At 37.3% G+C, this 16,615-nt stretch overlaps 1 long non-coding RNA gene across 3 annotated transcripts in view; it reads left to right on the forward strand.

Moving 5' to 3' along the window:
- The first annotated feature begins 624 nt into the window (after nucleotides 1-624).
- LOC102723654 (uncharacterized) overlaps nucleotides 625-16,615 on the forward strand; it is a 253,720-nt gene continuing 237,729 nt past the window's right edge. Inside the window, exons 1-2 of one of the 3 annotated variants that reach the window (XR_001742463.2) lie at nucleotides 625-2,422; nucleotides 14,030-14,084. This is a non-coding gene — a long non-coding RNA (uncharacterized LOC102723654). Of the gene's footprint in view, nucleotides 2,423-13,305; nucleotides 13,320-14,029; nucleotides 14,085-16,615 lie in introns of those variants that run through there. The other 2 variants (XR_001742465.2, XR_427770.4) reach the window with 2 other exon arrangements.

Below are 16,615 nucleotides of genomic sequence, written 5' to 3' on the forward strand. Positions count from 1 at the left end.
CACTTGTGTTCTTTCCTAGTTGTATCTCCCCTCAGAGGTAAATTCTATCTTGACTTTTGTTTTTTTAATATTATACTTTGTTTTAGGGTACATGTGTACAACGTGCAGGTTTGTTACATATGTATACCTGTGCCATGTTGGTGTGCTGCACCCATTAACTCATCGTTTACATTATGTATATCTCCTAATGCTATCCCTCTCCCCTCACCCCACCCAAAAACAGGCCCCGGTGTGTGATGTTCCCCATCCTGTGTCCAAGTGTTCCCATTGTTCAATTCCCACCTGTGAGTGAGAACATGCGGTGTTTGGTTTTCTGTCCTTGTGATAGTTTGCTAAGAATGATGGTTTCCAGCCTCATCCATGTCCCTACAAAGGACATGAACTCATCCCTTTTTATGGCTGCATAGTACTCCATGGTGTATATGTGCCTCATTTTCTTAATCCAGTCTATGATTGTTGGACATTTGGGTTGTTTCCAAGTCTTTGCTATTGTGAATAGTGCCACAGTAAACATACATGTGCATCTGTCTTTATAGCAGCATGATTTATAATCCTTTGGGTATATACCCAGTAATGGGATGGCTAGGTCAAATGGTATTTCTAGTTCTAGATCCTTGAGGAATCGCCACACTGTCTTCCACAATGGTTGAACTAGTTTACAGTCCCACCAACAGTGTAAAGGTGTTCCTTGACTTCTAATACTATAGATAAGCTTTGCTGCTTTGGAACTTGAAAAAAATTTTTAGCTACTCTGCTATTCATAGACATTTGTGTAATGGTTTCAGCTTTGGGCTGTGTGAATGGTGCTGCTACAGTCAATCTAACAGATTTCATTTTGGTGAACATGTGCACACATTTCTTTTAGGTTTATAAGAGTGCAATTACTGTGTCATAGGTTGTAAATATTAAGAGCTCTAATAGAGACTACTAAACAGATTTCTGAAGTCATCATATCACTTTATATGCCTAGCAGCAATATATAAGAAGAATCAATCACTTTGAAAAGTTTTTACTTCTGGTAGCTCACTTCTGTAAATAGTATCTGTCTATCTTAAAAAGCTTTAAAATAATAAACTTGTTCTGTTCACTTACCCTGCACCCCAGCTTATCTTTCTTCACCTTCCTCAAAAAACTAATGGTTAAATTATGTTTGCTTGGTTATATTTGTAAATTAACAATCTTTTATGTCTTCTTGCTTTGTCAACTTAATAAGCAGTTTTCCTTCTCTCTCTGTTACATGTAAATACAAGTTATTCTCTATATTCGTTTGTTAATTTCCATTGCCTATATTTTTAAATCCCTTTTTTAAATTTTGAAATAATGTTAGATTTACAGAAACACTGCAAAGATAGTACAGTTTTCCCTATTAACATATTATATAACCATGATACCTTTGTCAAAACTAAAAACCAACATTGGTACATTACTGTCAACTGCAGACTTTATTGTATTTCACCAGGTTTTTCTGCTATGTACCCCTTCTGTTCTCTTCCAGGTTCCAATCCAGGATACTACAATTCACTTAGCCACCGTATTTCCTGATTTTCCTCTGGTCTATGACAGTTTCTCAGTCTTTCCTTGTTTTCAATGACCTTAATGGTTTTCAGTCCCCCAGGGTTTCCACCCCCTAATCTACTGCATATAGTCACTTCCCACTGGGTGTGGGCTGGACATGTGAATGTGATGGGATAGCCTCCAGGAGCCACTCTCACGTTATTGGCTACTCTAACCTTAGGTCATTCTGGGCTTCTACTGGGAAGGCTGGCTTTTACTTCCACTTAGGTTCCCCCATGGTATTACTTTTTCATCAACATACTTCCATGTACTTTCAGACTTTGAGAAACGTGTGAAAGACTCTGATCTCCCCACGTACATCCACACTTCTGAGTTTATTCATTTTTGTGTTCCCTTATTGCTTCAGGAAGGAGGAGGAGAGGTAAGCATATGTGCACATTTTAAAACTAGCAACAAAGAGCTCCCTTTCAAATCATAACTTGCCACTGCCAATTCCAGGCTAACTCGTTAGCCTCATGCCTTTGTAGTTCTTTTTCTGTTATACCCATCTATAGCCAATGTTCTTATATGTGTATGTTTTGCAGTGGTAGTAGTTACAGGACCAGGTTTTAAGCCTGGCTCTGGAATTATCTGATATATTGCTTTAGGGGAGTTGCTTAAAATGTGTGCCTCGGCCAGGACATAATTAAGATTATTACTGTTGTCTACTTCACAGAGTAATCTGAGAATGACTTCATGCATTTTCACTGCCATTGCATTTCTAAAACTGTCTTATGATTTTAAAATAAGCTTCTCTGTCATAAAAACCGTAATCAGACACAGAAGAATGCCAGAAGGCAGAGGTAAACTGAGTTCACCTTCCAATGTTCCATCAACACATCTTGAAAATTCTTCATCATTCTCACTGGTGAGTAATTCCTGTCTAACATCCAGAATGCTAGTCTTAGGGGCCAGGAAGGAAGAATATAACTTTCTAAATCCTGCCCCTTGGTATAACTTATTCTCAGTGTTGATTTCATTATGATTTCTTTTTATAATTCTGTTGACTAAATAAGAACTTGATGAATCATTGCATAATTAATTAACCGTGAAACAGCAGGGTGCATTTTCTGGACTTTCTCAAGCAGGCAGGAAACGTTTTTATTCCATTTGTTTGATAGTAGAAAGGTGTCTCAATAGGGAGAGTTTTTCTTGCTATATCTTTTCATAGAAGAACTATATAGGGAGAAATAAATTATATCACAAATACCTCAGTTTTTATTAGTAATCTTTAAAATTTTTACAGACAATTGACCAAAGAAGAGGTATAATCTTTAAATGTTCCTTTATGTGTTTCCAAGGTTTGGATTAACTAAATGAATCATTTCCATCTTGGTCTGGGTTCTGTCTCTGGCAGAGACACTAAAGGATTATTGTGGGAGGGCTTGGTTGTTGTCCTTGCTTTTCATCTCAGAAAATTAGTTGAAGAGCCAAAATACATTGATTCCCTTAATATCCCATGTCAATGTCAGCATATATATGTATATCTAAAACTTTCATATTAAATTTTTTTCATCGTTAATTAAGGAAAAAATAAGTTCTGTAAACCTACTACTGTTTATAAAGTAGTTCTATTTTTAAGCATTTTACAAGGCACAGACCAGGTGTTCTGTTAGTTGGAGTTTTTGTCCTTTTTCCTTTCATGTGTGTTTCCTTCTTGATTATTTTGTGCCATGAGCCCATACCCAATCCATTAAAGAGTCCTGAATTTTTAATCTGTTTTTATGTAGCAGGAAGCGTTGCTTTTATTCTTTTTCATCTTTCTGGTTGGCCCTCTATAAATCTACTAGCACCTTTTTATGGTTTTCTGTAGCAGAATAACCACAGTTGCATGTAAGTTCCAAGCTAAAGATATGCCATATCTTTAAAAGCAGAATAGGATTATATTTTCTGTTTTGTTTCTAGCACTATCTCTGAGAGATTCTGGCATTTTGTTAGCTTTTGTGACCACTGTCCTATGTTGGGTTCAGACATCAGGAAACATGGTGGCGAGCGCCCTGTCCTGGCCTCTGACTGATAATGGGTACTGTAGTTGGATTCCCTTCCCACTAATTATATTACTATGCACACTGACTTGACCTTACCTGAAATGTTTCTGCCTGTCCCTATAGACTTTAGAACACTCCTTCTTACCCTGAAAAGTTTGATATTTCAGGGTTCAGAAATGTTTACTATGGGCATCTGCAAACTGAAATAAATGGTAAATAACACCATTTTTGACAGATTCTGAGGAGGCTTTTCTTTGTGCTGCCTCTCCTAGAGATGTGCCTGTTTTTGTTTTTGTTTTTGTTTTTTCCTTTTAGTTTTTATCCTTGTACAAGTTATTCACAACAAAAATGTCTTCTCATTCTCTACTTTGAGTTTATAAGGGCCATTATGGGCAGAACCGTGTTACTGATTTCTGAAAACAGATTACCACCACTGCCTCCTCACATTGCCTCCCTCCCCTGTTCTCCCAAAATTTGTTTAACTAATATGTAATATCTCTTGTTTTCCTAGAAGTTTACATTTACCAAAACTATTTGAATTCTTCATTGATCAATGAAAAGAAAGGGCTAAAAATTGGTACGATGAGAATGGAAATAGAAAATCAATCTCCTACCCAATACTCAATTTAATTTAAGACGACACTGTTTTGTTTTACAACTTAGTTTCTCCTGACCCCTTCGAAGCTAGGAACCTCAAATTGTCATTTAAATGTTCTCCCAACATTGGGTAAAGTAGTAAGGACTGTTCCATCTTATCAAGAGAATATATGCCCTTATATACCTAAGCAAGTCATTCCAGTGCCCTGGAATATGTCTCCAAAGAGTCAAAACATATCTAATTTAATTTCTAATAGCTGCATTTTAAATCTGCTGCCAGTTAAGTTTTATGTTTAATCATAATCATCTATGTTCTTATCGTAGCTTATGTGAAAGCCTTTTAAGATAAAAAGTTATGAGCACAGATTTCAGAAGAGTACCTTTAGGAGACTACTGGTGATTGATGTTTTAGGATGACCTACGTGGACTATGTTCTTAGGCCAAGAGTCTTAAGCCCTTCGTGTAGTTTATAAATAACATTTATGTTCTGTATGTTGTTTGGTGTTTTATGATATCCAGACAAGATGCTGAAAATACTTGTTTTTTTACAATAAAGCTATTGACATTTTATTTACTTTGAAGAACTTAAACATCACTCAACCTTTTGAAAAGAACCATGGGAACATTTGATTTGGGGGCTTCTTGAGAAAGGGTTATATAAATGAATTGTATTCAATGAATGCTTATTTACTGTCTTCTGTGTACAAAGCACTGTGTTGGCTACAAGGATTACAGAGATAATATTATCCTTGATCTCTAAACTGCATGTAGTCTAGTAGAAGAAATAAGAATAAAGTAGAACATAAGAACTCTACGGAAGTACAAAGTTCCATGAAAACAATGAAAAAGGAGCTATTATTTCCAGTTGTAGGCTCCCCAAAGCTGTAAGAAGCCTGCATTTGCACTAAATTGTTGCCCTTTGTTGGCAGCCATCTCTATGTTGGGGAAGTAGAGAATGGAACATATCACATTTCTCTTGTCTTTTCCCACCAAATCAAACTCTATTCTTTTTTCTGTCTTAAGTTTTCTGCCCTGTACAGTTAGTTCTAAAGAACTAATTTTGTACATCTGGAATTCCTCATTAAACTGGATACAGGATATTGAGGATAAGATGGTTCTTAAACTTTTTGTACTTTGTGGACAAGCCAATAAATTTCTTTGCCAGTCAGCCAAGAGTTCATATTTTTTTCAAAGAATTCTTGAAATAAACATGAGGATAATTAAAATGCATAATTTTAGGAAAAGGGCTTAGACTTTTTTTAAACTTGAGTTCCTAAGTCAAGCTTACATTATTTACTGTGAAGTTAAGTGACAGAAGGGTGATGAACATGGGTGTGTTTCTGTGATGGAGATCACAACGATGATGTCACCTTGCTCATCACTTTAAAAGGCACACCCTATTTGCTAGGTACATAAAACTTTGTTCTGATGTCCACTGATAATTCAGTGTCATCTGCTTCCTTTATCACATACTCACCCTCATTCCTGTCCTATTTTTTTAATCATAATTTAGAGGGGCTAAAGAAGGGGAAATTAAAACCAAAGAAGTGTGAAGACCTGGAGTCGGGGTGAGGGTGTGTCAAACAAGGAGAAGGCCAAATGTCCAGCTGGTTCCACATGAAGATGCCAGGTTTTTTTTTTTTTTAGTTGACAAACAAAACTTGAATATATTTATTGTGTACAACATGACATTTTGAAATATGTATACATACACATTGTAGAATGGCTTAGTTGAGCTAATTAACATATATCAAATCACATATCATTTTTGTGATGAGAACACTTAAAAATTTACTCAGTGATTTTCAAAGTACAATACATTGTTATCAACTGTAGTCACCACTTTGTACAATAGATCTCTTAAACTCATTCCATCTGTTTAACTGAAGTTTCGTATCCTTTGACCAACATCTATCTCTTTAACCTCACACTCCTACCAGTCTCTGGTAACCATCATTTTACTGTTTTTTATCAATTCAACTTTTTTAGATTCCACATAAATGTGAGATCATGTGGTATTTGTCATTCTGTTTCTGGCTAGTTTCACTTAACATAATGTTCTCCAGGTTCATGCATATCATTCCAAATGGCAGCATTTCCTTCTTTTTAAAGGCTGAGTAGTATTCCATTTGTATATATACCACATTTTCTTTATCCACTTAACCATTCATGGACACAGTTTGATTTCATATCTTAGCTATTATGAATAATGGTGAAATGAATATGGGAGTGCAGACATTTCTTTGACATACTGATTTTGTTTCTTTTGGTTATACACCCAGTAATGGGATGCAGAAACATTTGGTAGTTCTATTTTTAATTTTGTGCAGAACCCCCATACTCTTTTTCCATAATGGCTATACTAATTTACATTCCCACCAACAGTGTGCAAGCATTCCCTTTTCTCCATATCCTCACTCTTACTTATCTTTTGTCTATTTGATAAAAACTATTCTAATGGGTGTGAGGTAATATCTAATCGTAGTTTTAGTTTGCATTTTCTTGATTAATGATGTTAAGCATTTTTATATACCTATTGACCATTTGTATGTTGTCTTTCGAAAAATGTCTATTCAGTTCCTTTACCCATTTTTATTATGTTTTTTTTCATCTTTGAACAGCTGTATTGAGGTGTATTTGCTATACAATAATCCTTACATATATAAAGTAAATGATTTGATAGTTTTTACGTACATACACACTTGTAAAACCACCATCACAATCAAGATAATAAACACATCTGCCACTCCCCCAAGGCTCCTGCCCTTTGTAACCTGTCCCTCCAACCATGCTCCCCCATCCTCAGGCCCACTCTGGTCTGCTTTCTGTCACTACTGACTAGTTTGCTTTTTCTAGAATGTTCTGTAAACAGAATCACACAGTGTATATTCTATCTTGTGTTTCTTTCACTCAGTAGAATTGTTTGGAGACTTATCCATGTTGTGAGTATCATTAGTTTGTTCCTTTTTATTCCTGAGTAGCATTCTACTGTACAGATATACCTCCATTTGTTTATCCAGTTATCTGTTTATGGACAGTTGTGTACTTTGCAATTTGGGCTACTGTGAACATTATGCATACGTCACCGTATGGACATATGTCTTCATTCCTCTTGGTCTGTCTGAGTTCCATGCCTAGGGGTCTTTGGAATTGCTAGGCCATGTGATAAGTTCTATTCAACATGTTAGAGAAATTGCTGAGGTGTTTCTCAAGTGACTGCACCATTTTCTATCTCCACCGTCAGCTTGTGAGGGTTCTAATTTCTTCACATCCTCACCAACACTGTTACTGTCTGTTTTATGTTTATTATTTTTTGTGGCCATGCTAGTGGGTGCTGTGATATCTTGCTGTGGTTCTTATCTACATTTCCCTAGTAACAATGCTGAGCATTGTTTGAAGGCCACGTTGCCATGATTACATCTTCTTTGGTGAACTGTCCACTGAAATCTCTTGCCCATCTTTTTTTTATTATACTTTAAGTTTGGTGGTACATGTGCAGAACGTGCACGTTTGTTACATAGGTATACACGTGTCATGGTGGTTTGCTGCACCCATCAACCTGTCACATAGTTTACATATTTCTCCTAATGCTATCCCTCCCCTAGCCCCCAACCCTATGAAAGGCCCTGGTGTGTGATGGTTCCCTCCCTGTGTCCATGTGTTCTTATTGTTCAACTCCCACTAATGAGTGAGAATATGCGGTGTTTGGTTTTCTTTTCTTGTGTTAGTTTGATGAGAATGATGGTTTCCAGCTTCATCCATATCCCTGCAAAGGACGTGAACTCATCCTTTTTTATGGTTGCATTGTATCCCATGGTGTATATGTGCCACATTTTCTTTATCCAGTCTATCATTGATGGGCATTTGGGTTGGTTCCAAGTCTTTGCTATCGTGAACAGTGCTGCAGTAAACATATGTGTGCATGTGTCTTTATAGTAGAATGATTTATAATCCCTTGGGTATATACCCAGTAATGGGATTGCTGGGTCAAATGGTATTTCTGGTTCTAGATCCTTGAGGAATCACCACACTGTCTTCCACAATGGTTGAATTACTTTACACTCCCACCAACAGTGTAAAAGCATTCCAATTTCTCCACATCCTCTCCAGCATCTGTTGTTTCCTGACTTTTTAATGATTGCCATTCTAATTGCATGAGATGGTGTCTCGTTGTGGTTTTGATTTGCATTTTTTTAATGGCCAGTGATGATGATCTTTTTTTCATATGTTTGTTGGCTGCATAAATGTCTTCTTTTGAGAAGTGTCTGTTCATATCCTTTGCCACCTTTTGATGGGGTTGTTTTTTCCTTGTAAATTTGTTTAAATTCTTTGTAGGTTCTGGATATTAGCCGTTTGTCAGATGGACAGGTTGCAAAATTTTTTTCTCCCATTCTGTAGTTTGCCTGTTCACTCTGATGATAGTTTGTTTTGCTGTGTAGACGCTCTTTAGTTTAATTAGATCCCATTTTTCAATTTTGGCTTTTGTTGCCATTGCTTTTGGTGATTTAGTCATGAAGTCTTTGCCCATGCCTATGTACTGAATGGTATTGCCTAGGTTTTCTTCTAGGGTTTTTATGGTTTTAGGTCTTACATTTAAGTCTTTGATCCATTTTGAGTTAATTTTTGTATAAGGTATAAGGAAGGGGTCTAATTTCAGTTTTTGGCTTATGGCTAGCCAGTTTTCTTTCCCAACACCATTTATTAAATAGGGAATCCTTTCCCCATTGCTTGTTTTTTGTCGGGTTTGTCAAAGATCAGATGGTTGTAGATTTGTGGTGTTATTTCTGAGACCTCTGTTCTGTTCCATTGGTCTATATATCTGTTTTGGGACCAGTACCATGCTGTTTTGGTTATGGTAGCCTTGTAGTATAGTTTGAATTCAGGTAGCATGATGCCTCCAGCTTTTTTCTTTTTGCTTAGGATTGTCTTGGCTATGCAGGCTCTTTTTTGGTTCCATACGAAATTTAAAGTGTTTTTTTTCTAATTCTGTGAAGAAAGTCAACCATAGCTTGATGGGGATAGCATTGAATCTATAAATTACTTTGAGCAGTATGGCCATTTTCACAATATTGATTCTTCCTATCCATGAGCATGGAATGCTTTTCCATTTGTTTATGTCCTCTCATTTCCTTGAGCAGTGGTTTGTAGTTCTCCTTGAAGAGGTCCTTCACATCCCTTTTAAGTTGTATTCCTAGATACTTAATTCTCTATATAGCAATTGTGAATGGGAGTTCACTCATGATTTGGCTCTCTGTTTATTATTGGTGTATAGGAATGCTTGTGATTTTTGCACATAATTTTGTATCCTGAGACTTTTCTTATTAGCTTAAGCAGTTTTTGGGATGAGACGATGGAGTTTTCTACATATACAGTCATGTCATCTACAAACAGAGACAATTTGACTTCCTCTCTTCCTGTTTGAATACCCTTTATTTCTTTCTCTTGCCTGATTGCCCTGGCCAGAACTTCCAATTCCATATTGAATTGGAGTGGTAACAGAGGGCATCCTTGTGCTGGTTTTCAAAGTGAATGCTTCCAGGTTTTCTCCTTTCTGTATGATATTGGCTGTGGGTTTGTCATAAATAGCTCTTATTATTTTGAGATATGTTCCATCAATACCTAGTTTGAGAGTTTTTAGCATAAAGGGGTGTTGAATTTTGCTGAAGGCCTATTCTGCATCTATTGAGATCATCATGTCATTTTTGTCATTGGTTCTGTTTGTGTGATGGATTACATTTATTGATTTGTGTATGTTGAACCAGCCTTGCATCCCAGGGATGAAGCCAACTTGATCGTGGTAGACAAGCTTTTTGATGTGCTGCTGGATTCGGTTTGCCAGTATTTTATTGAATACTTTTGCATCAATGTTCATCAGGGATATTGGCCTGAAATTTTATCTTTTTGTTCTGTCTCTGCCAAGTTTTGATATCAGGATGATGTTGGCCTCATAAAATGAGATAAGGAGGAGTCCCTCTTTTTCTATTGTTTGGAAAAATTTCAGAAGAAATGGTACCATCCCCTCTTTGTACCTATGGTAGAATTTGGCTGTGAATCCGTCTGGTCCTCAACTTTCTTTGGTTGGTAGCCTATTAATTGCTGCCTCAATTTCAGAACTTGTAATTGGTCTATTCAGGGATTCGACTTCTTTCTGGTTTAGACTTGGGAAGGTGTATATGTCCAGGAATTTACCATTTCTTCTAGATTTTGTAGTTTATTTGCGTAGAGGTATTTATAGTATTCTCTGACGATAGTTTGTATTTTTGTGAGATCAGTGGTAGTATCCCCTTTATCACTTTTTATTGCATCTATTTGATTCTTCTCTCTTTTCTTCTTTATTAGTCTGGCTAGTGGTCTATCTATTTTGTTGATCTTTTCAAAAAACCAGCTCCTGTATTCATTGATTTTTTTCTTTTGAAGGGTTTTTCATGTCTGTATCTCCTTCAGTTCTTCTCTGATCTTATTTCTTGTCTTCTGCTAGCTTTTGAATTTGTTTGCTTTTGCTTCTCTAGTTCTTTTAATTGTGATGTTAGGGTGTGGATTTTAGATCTTTCCTGCTTTCTCTTTTGGGCATTTAGTGCTATAAAATTCCCTCTAAACACTACTTTAGCTGTGTCCCAAAGGTTCTGGTATGTTGTGTCTTTGTTCTCATTGGTTTCAAAGAACTTACTTATTTCTATCTTAGTTTTGTTATTTACCCAGTAGTCATTCAGGGACAGGTCATTCAGTTTCCATGTAGCTGTGCAGTTTTTAGTGAGTTTCTTAATCCTGAGTTCTAATTTGATTGCACTGTGGTCTGAGGGAGTGTTATGATTTCCATTCTTTTGCGTTTGCTGAGGAGTGTTTTACTTCCAATTATGTGGTCAATTTTAGAATAAATGCGATGTGGTGCTGAGAAGAATGTATATTCTGTTTAATTGAGTTGGAGAGTTCTGTAGATGTCTATTAGGTCTGCTTAGAACAGAGTGGAGTTCAAGTCCTGAATATCCTTGTTAATTTTCTGTCTCATTGATCGCTCCAATGTTGACAGTGAAGTGTTAACTCCTATTATTGTGTGGGAGTCTAAGTCTCTTTGTAGGTCTCTAAGAACTTGCTTTATGAATCTGAGTGCTCCTGTATTGAGTGCATATATATTTAGGATAGTTAGCTCTTCTTGTTGCATTGATCCTTTTACCATTATGTAATGCCCTTCTTTGTCTCTTTTGATCTTTGTTGGTTTGAAGTCTTTTTTTTTTATTTTTGAGGCAGAGTGTCGCTCTGTTGCCCAGGCTGGAGTGCAGTGGCACGATCTAGGCTCACTGCAAGCTATGCCTCCTGGGTTCATGCCATTCTCCTGCCTCAGCTTCCTGAGTAGCTGGGACTACAGGTACCTGCCACCACGCCCAGTTAATTTTTTTGTGTGTATTTTTAGTAGAGACGGGGTTTCACCATGTTAGCCAGGATGGTCTTAATCTCCTGACCTCATGATCTGCCTGCCTCAGCCTCCCAAAGTGCTGGGATTACAGGCGTGAGCCACCACACCCAGCCTAAAGTCTGTTTTATCAGAGACTAGAATTGCAACCCCTGCTTTTCTTTTTCTTTTTTTTTTTGCTTTCCATTTGCTTGGTAAATATTCCTCCATCCCTTTATTTTGAGCCTATGTGTGTCTTTGCACATGACCGGGTCTCCTGAATACAGCACTTCGATGGGTCTTGACTCTTTATCTAATTTGCCAGTCTGTATCTTTTTATTGGGGCATTTAGCTCATTTACATTTAAGGTTAATATTGTCATGTGGGAATTTGATCCTGTCATTATGATGTTAGCTGGTTATTTTGCCTGTTAGTTGATGCAATTTCTTCATAGCGTTGATGGTCTTTACAATTTGGTATGTTTTTGCAGTGGCTGGTACCAGTTGTTCCTTTCCATATTTAGTGCTTCCTTCAGGAGGTCTTATAAGGCAGGCCTGGTAGTGACAAAATCTCTCAGCATTTGCTTGTCTGTGAAGGATCTTATTTCTCTTTTGCTTTTGAAGCTTAGTTTGGCTGGATATGAAATTCTCAGTTGAAAATTCTTTTCTTTAAGAATGTTGAATATTGCCCCCCACTCTTTTCTGGCTTGTAGGGTTTCAGCCAGGAGATCCACTGTTAGTCTAATGGGCTTCCCCTTTTGCATAACCTGTCCTTTCTCTCTGGCTGCCCTTAACATTTTTTTCCTTCATTTCAGCCTTGGTGAATCTGACGATTATGTATCTTGGAGTTACTCTTCTGGAAGAGTATCTTTGTGGCATTCTCTATTTCCTGAATTTGAACGTTGGCCTGTCTTGCTATGTTGTGGAGGTTCTCCTGGATAATATCCTGAAGAGTGTTTTCCAACTTGGTTGCATTCTCCCTATCACCTTCAGGTACACCACTCAAACGTAGGTTTGGTTTTTTCACATAGTCCCATATTTCTTGGAGGCTTTGTTTGTTCCTTTACATCCTTTTTTTCTCTAATCTTGTGTTCACGCTTTATTTCATTAAGTTGATCTTTGATCTCTGATATCCTTTCTTCCGCTTGATCGATTCAGCTATTGATACTTGTGTATGCTTCACAAAGTTCTCGTGCTGTGTTTTTCAGCTCCATCAGGTCATTTGTTTTTTCTAAACTGGTTATTCTAGTTAGCCATTTATCTAACCTTTTTACAAGGTTCTTAGCTTCCTTGTATTGGGTTAGAACATGCTCCTTTATCTCAGAGGTGTTTGTTATTACCCACCTTCTGAAGCCTACTTCTGTCAGTTTCTCAAACTCATTCTCCATCTAGTTTTGTTTTCTTGCTGGTGAGGAGTTGTGATCATTTGGAGGAGAAGAGGCGTTCTGGTTTTTGGAATTTTCAGCCTTTTTGCGCTGGTTTCTCCCCATCTTTGTGGATTTATCTACTTTTGTTCTTTGATGTTGGTGACCTTCGGATGGGGCTTCTGTGTCTGGATGTCCTTTTTGTTGATGTTGATGCTATTCCTTTCTGTTTGTTAGTTTTCCTTCTAACAATCAGGCCCCTCTGCTGCATGTCTGCTGGAGTTTGCTGGAGTGCCACTCCAGACCCTGTTTGCCTGTGTATCTCCAGCAGAGGCTGCAGAACAGCAAAGATTGCTGCCTGTTCCTTCTTCTGGAAGCTTCATCCCAGAGGGGCACCTGCCAGATGCCAGCTGGAGCTCTCCTGTATGAGGTATCTGTTGGCCCCTGCTGGGAGGTGTCTCCTAGTGAGGAGACATGGGGGTCAGGGACCCACTTGAGGAGGCAGTCTGACCCTTAGCAGAGCTCAAACACTGCTGGGAGATCCGCTGCTCTCTTCAGAGCCACCAGGCAGGGACGTTTCAGTCAGCTGAGGCTGAGCCCATAACTGCTCCTTCCCCCAGGTGTTCTGTCCCAGGGAGATGGGGGTTTATCTATAAGCCCCTGACTGGGGCTGCTGCCTTTTTTTCAGAGATGCCCTGCCAAGAGAGGAGACATCTAGAGAGGCAGTCTGGCTAAAGCGGCTTTGTGTGTGGATATTTGTTTTCCCAGCACTATTTGTCAGAGAGACTATTCTGTTCACATTGTATGTTCTTGGTGTCTTTGAAAATTTATTGACTTTAAATGTGTGGATTTCTCTGTTGTCTATTGTATTCTGTTAGTCTATGTATCTGTTTTTATTCCAATGCCTTGATACTTAGTTTACTATACTTGTGAAAAAATGTCACTGGGATATTGTTAGAAATTACATTGGATCTGTAGATCACTTTGGGTAGTATGGATATTTTAACAATATTATTTATTCAAAGCTATGAACATATGTTTTATTTATGTTCTTCTGATTGGATAATTTAATCTATTTACACCAAATTCATAGGAAAACACTGACTACTGTCATTTTGTTAATTATTTTCTGTTTTTTAGATCCTTTATTCCTGTTTTGCCGTCCTCCTTTGTGATTAGAAGATTTTCTCTAATGGTATGATTTGATTCCTTACCTTTTATCTTTTGGGTATCTATCCGTTTTTGCTTTGTGATTACCATAGATTACATAAAACATCTATAGTTGTAATAGGCTACTTTAAGCTGATAACAACTTTGATCACATACAAAAATTCTACACTTTCTTTCTACCCACTTGTGGTTTTTGTTTGATGTCACAATGTACATCTTTTCATATTGTTTATTTCTTAAAAATTATTGTAGCTGTTATTTTTAGCTTTGTCATTTAATCTTCATACTAAAGATTTATACACCACCATCACTATATTAGTGTGTTCTGAATTTGTATATTTTTACTAGTGAGTTTTATACTTTCAGCTGTTTTTGTATGACTAATTAGTATCCTTTCCTTTCAGCTTGAACGACTACCTTTAGAATTTCATGTAGGACAGGTCTGGTGGTGATGAAATCCCTCAGCTATTGCTTTCTGAGAAAGTATCTATCTCTTTCATTTCTGAAGAAATGGAATATATATTTCTTATTATATTGCAAATCACACACTTATACTGGTTTTTACCACTGTCTAGTAAAATAAGAAAAACTAAAGTTTATTTTAAATAAACTTTATTGAGGTAATTGCATTATGTGCATAGTTTTTAAAAATGTTATTTACTCATATGACTATCATTCCAATCAAGACAGAATATTTCCATTACCTCTGGGAAGTTCCTGATTCCCTTTTCAGTCAATCTACCTACCATCCTGCCCCATCATCAAGGAACCACCAATCTTAGTATTGCCAGTTCTAAATCTTCATATAACTGGAATCATAAAACATATGCTGTTTTGTATCTAGCTTCTTTTACCTAGCATGTTTTTGAAATTTGTTCATTTGCATATATCATAGTTTAATGTTTTATTACTGAGTAGTATTTCTTTGAAATTTATCACAGTTTGTTTATTCCTCTGCTCATGGATATCTAGATTATTTCCAGTTTGGATATATTATTAAAGATTTATGACCATTTGTATATGAATTTCAGTGTGATCATGTATTCATGTTGTGTGTGCTCTCTCTCGCACGTATGCTTTCTCTCTCTCTCTCCAACTCTGTTTTCTCCAATACTCTCACCCACAAATTCTATCTTTATCTCCCTGGACTCTTATTTTTGTCTCTGTAACTCAGTAAAACTAACAGACTCTGATAGGGTTGCCCCTTTCTGTGGTGTCTCATAGAAATGACTCCAAGCTGTAAGCTCTGACAGTTATCTGGCTTACTTTGTTTGTCTTTGCTAAGGAATAATATTACTGGTAAGAAGTAACTGAGTTATTGGTGGCAAATTGTTGGGTCTGCAGCAACCTCAATTCTTGCTTCCTCAGAAGAAAGAATTTGACTGAGGGGCATAAGGCAGAAAAAGAGGCTAAGACAAGTTTCAGAGCAGGAGTGGAAGTTTTTTTTTTATTATTATTATACTTTAAGTTTTAGGGTACATGTGCACAATGTGCAGGTTAGTTACATATGTATACATGTGCCATGCTGGTGTGCTGCACCCATTAACTCGTCATTTAGCATTAGGTATATCTCCTAATGCTATCCCTCCCACCTCCCCCCACCCCACAACAGTCCCCAGAGTGTGATGTTCCCCTTCCTGTGTCCATGTGTTCTCATTTTTCAATTCCCATCTATAAGTGAGAACATGCGGTGTTTGGTTTTTTGTCCTTGCGATAGTTTACTAAGAATGATGATTTCCAATTTCATCCATGTCCCTACAAAGGACATGAACTCATCATTTTTTATGGCTGCACAGTATTCCATGGTGTATATGTGCCACATTTTCTTAATCCAGTCTATGATTGTTTGACATTTGGGTTGTTTCCAAGTCTTTTGCTATTGTGAATAGTGCCGCAATAAACATACGTGTGCATGTGTCTTTATAGCAGCATGATTTATAGTCCTTTGGGTATATACCCAGTAATAGGATAGCTGGGTCAAATGGTATTTCTAGTTCTAGATCCTTGAGGAATCGCCACACTGACTTCCACAATGGTTGAACTAGTTTACACTCTCACCAACAGTGTAAAAGTATTCCTATTTCTCCACATTCTCTCCAGCAACTGTTGTTTCCTGACTTTTTAATGATTGCCATTCTAACTGGTGTGAGATGGTATCTCATTGTGGTTTTGATTTGTATTTCTCTGATGGCCAGTGATGATGAGCATTTTTTCATGTGTCTTTTGGCTGCATAAATATCTTCTTTTGAGAAGTGTCTGTTCATATCCTTTGCCCACTTTTTGATGGGGTTGTTTGTTTTTTTCTTGTAAATTTGTTTGAGTTCATTGTAGATTCTGGATTTTAGAATAGGAAAGAAAGTAAAGTGTGCTTGGAAGAGACCCAAGCAGGTGACTTGAAGGACAGGCGTGATGTTTAATCATGATCCTAGGACTTTATAAGCTGGCCCCTTTCCCATGTTTCTTCCCTTAGGCTGGACTGCCTGCATGCACAGTGTCCTCCTTACCCTTGGCAGGTGAGCATGCACAGTGTGTTTAGGAAGTTGTGCACATGTCTAT

This window comes from Homo sapiens, chromosome 5, assembly GCF_000001405.40.
Source record: "Homo sapiens chromosome 5, GRCh38.p14 Primary Assembly".
Lineage (NCBI taxonomy): Eukaryota > Metazoa > Chordata > Mammalia > Primates > Hominidae > Homo > Homo sapiens.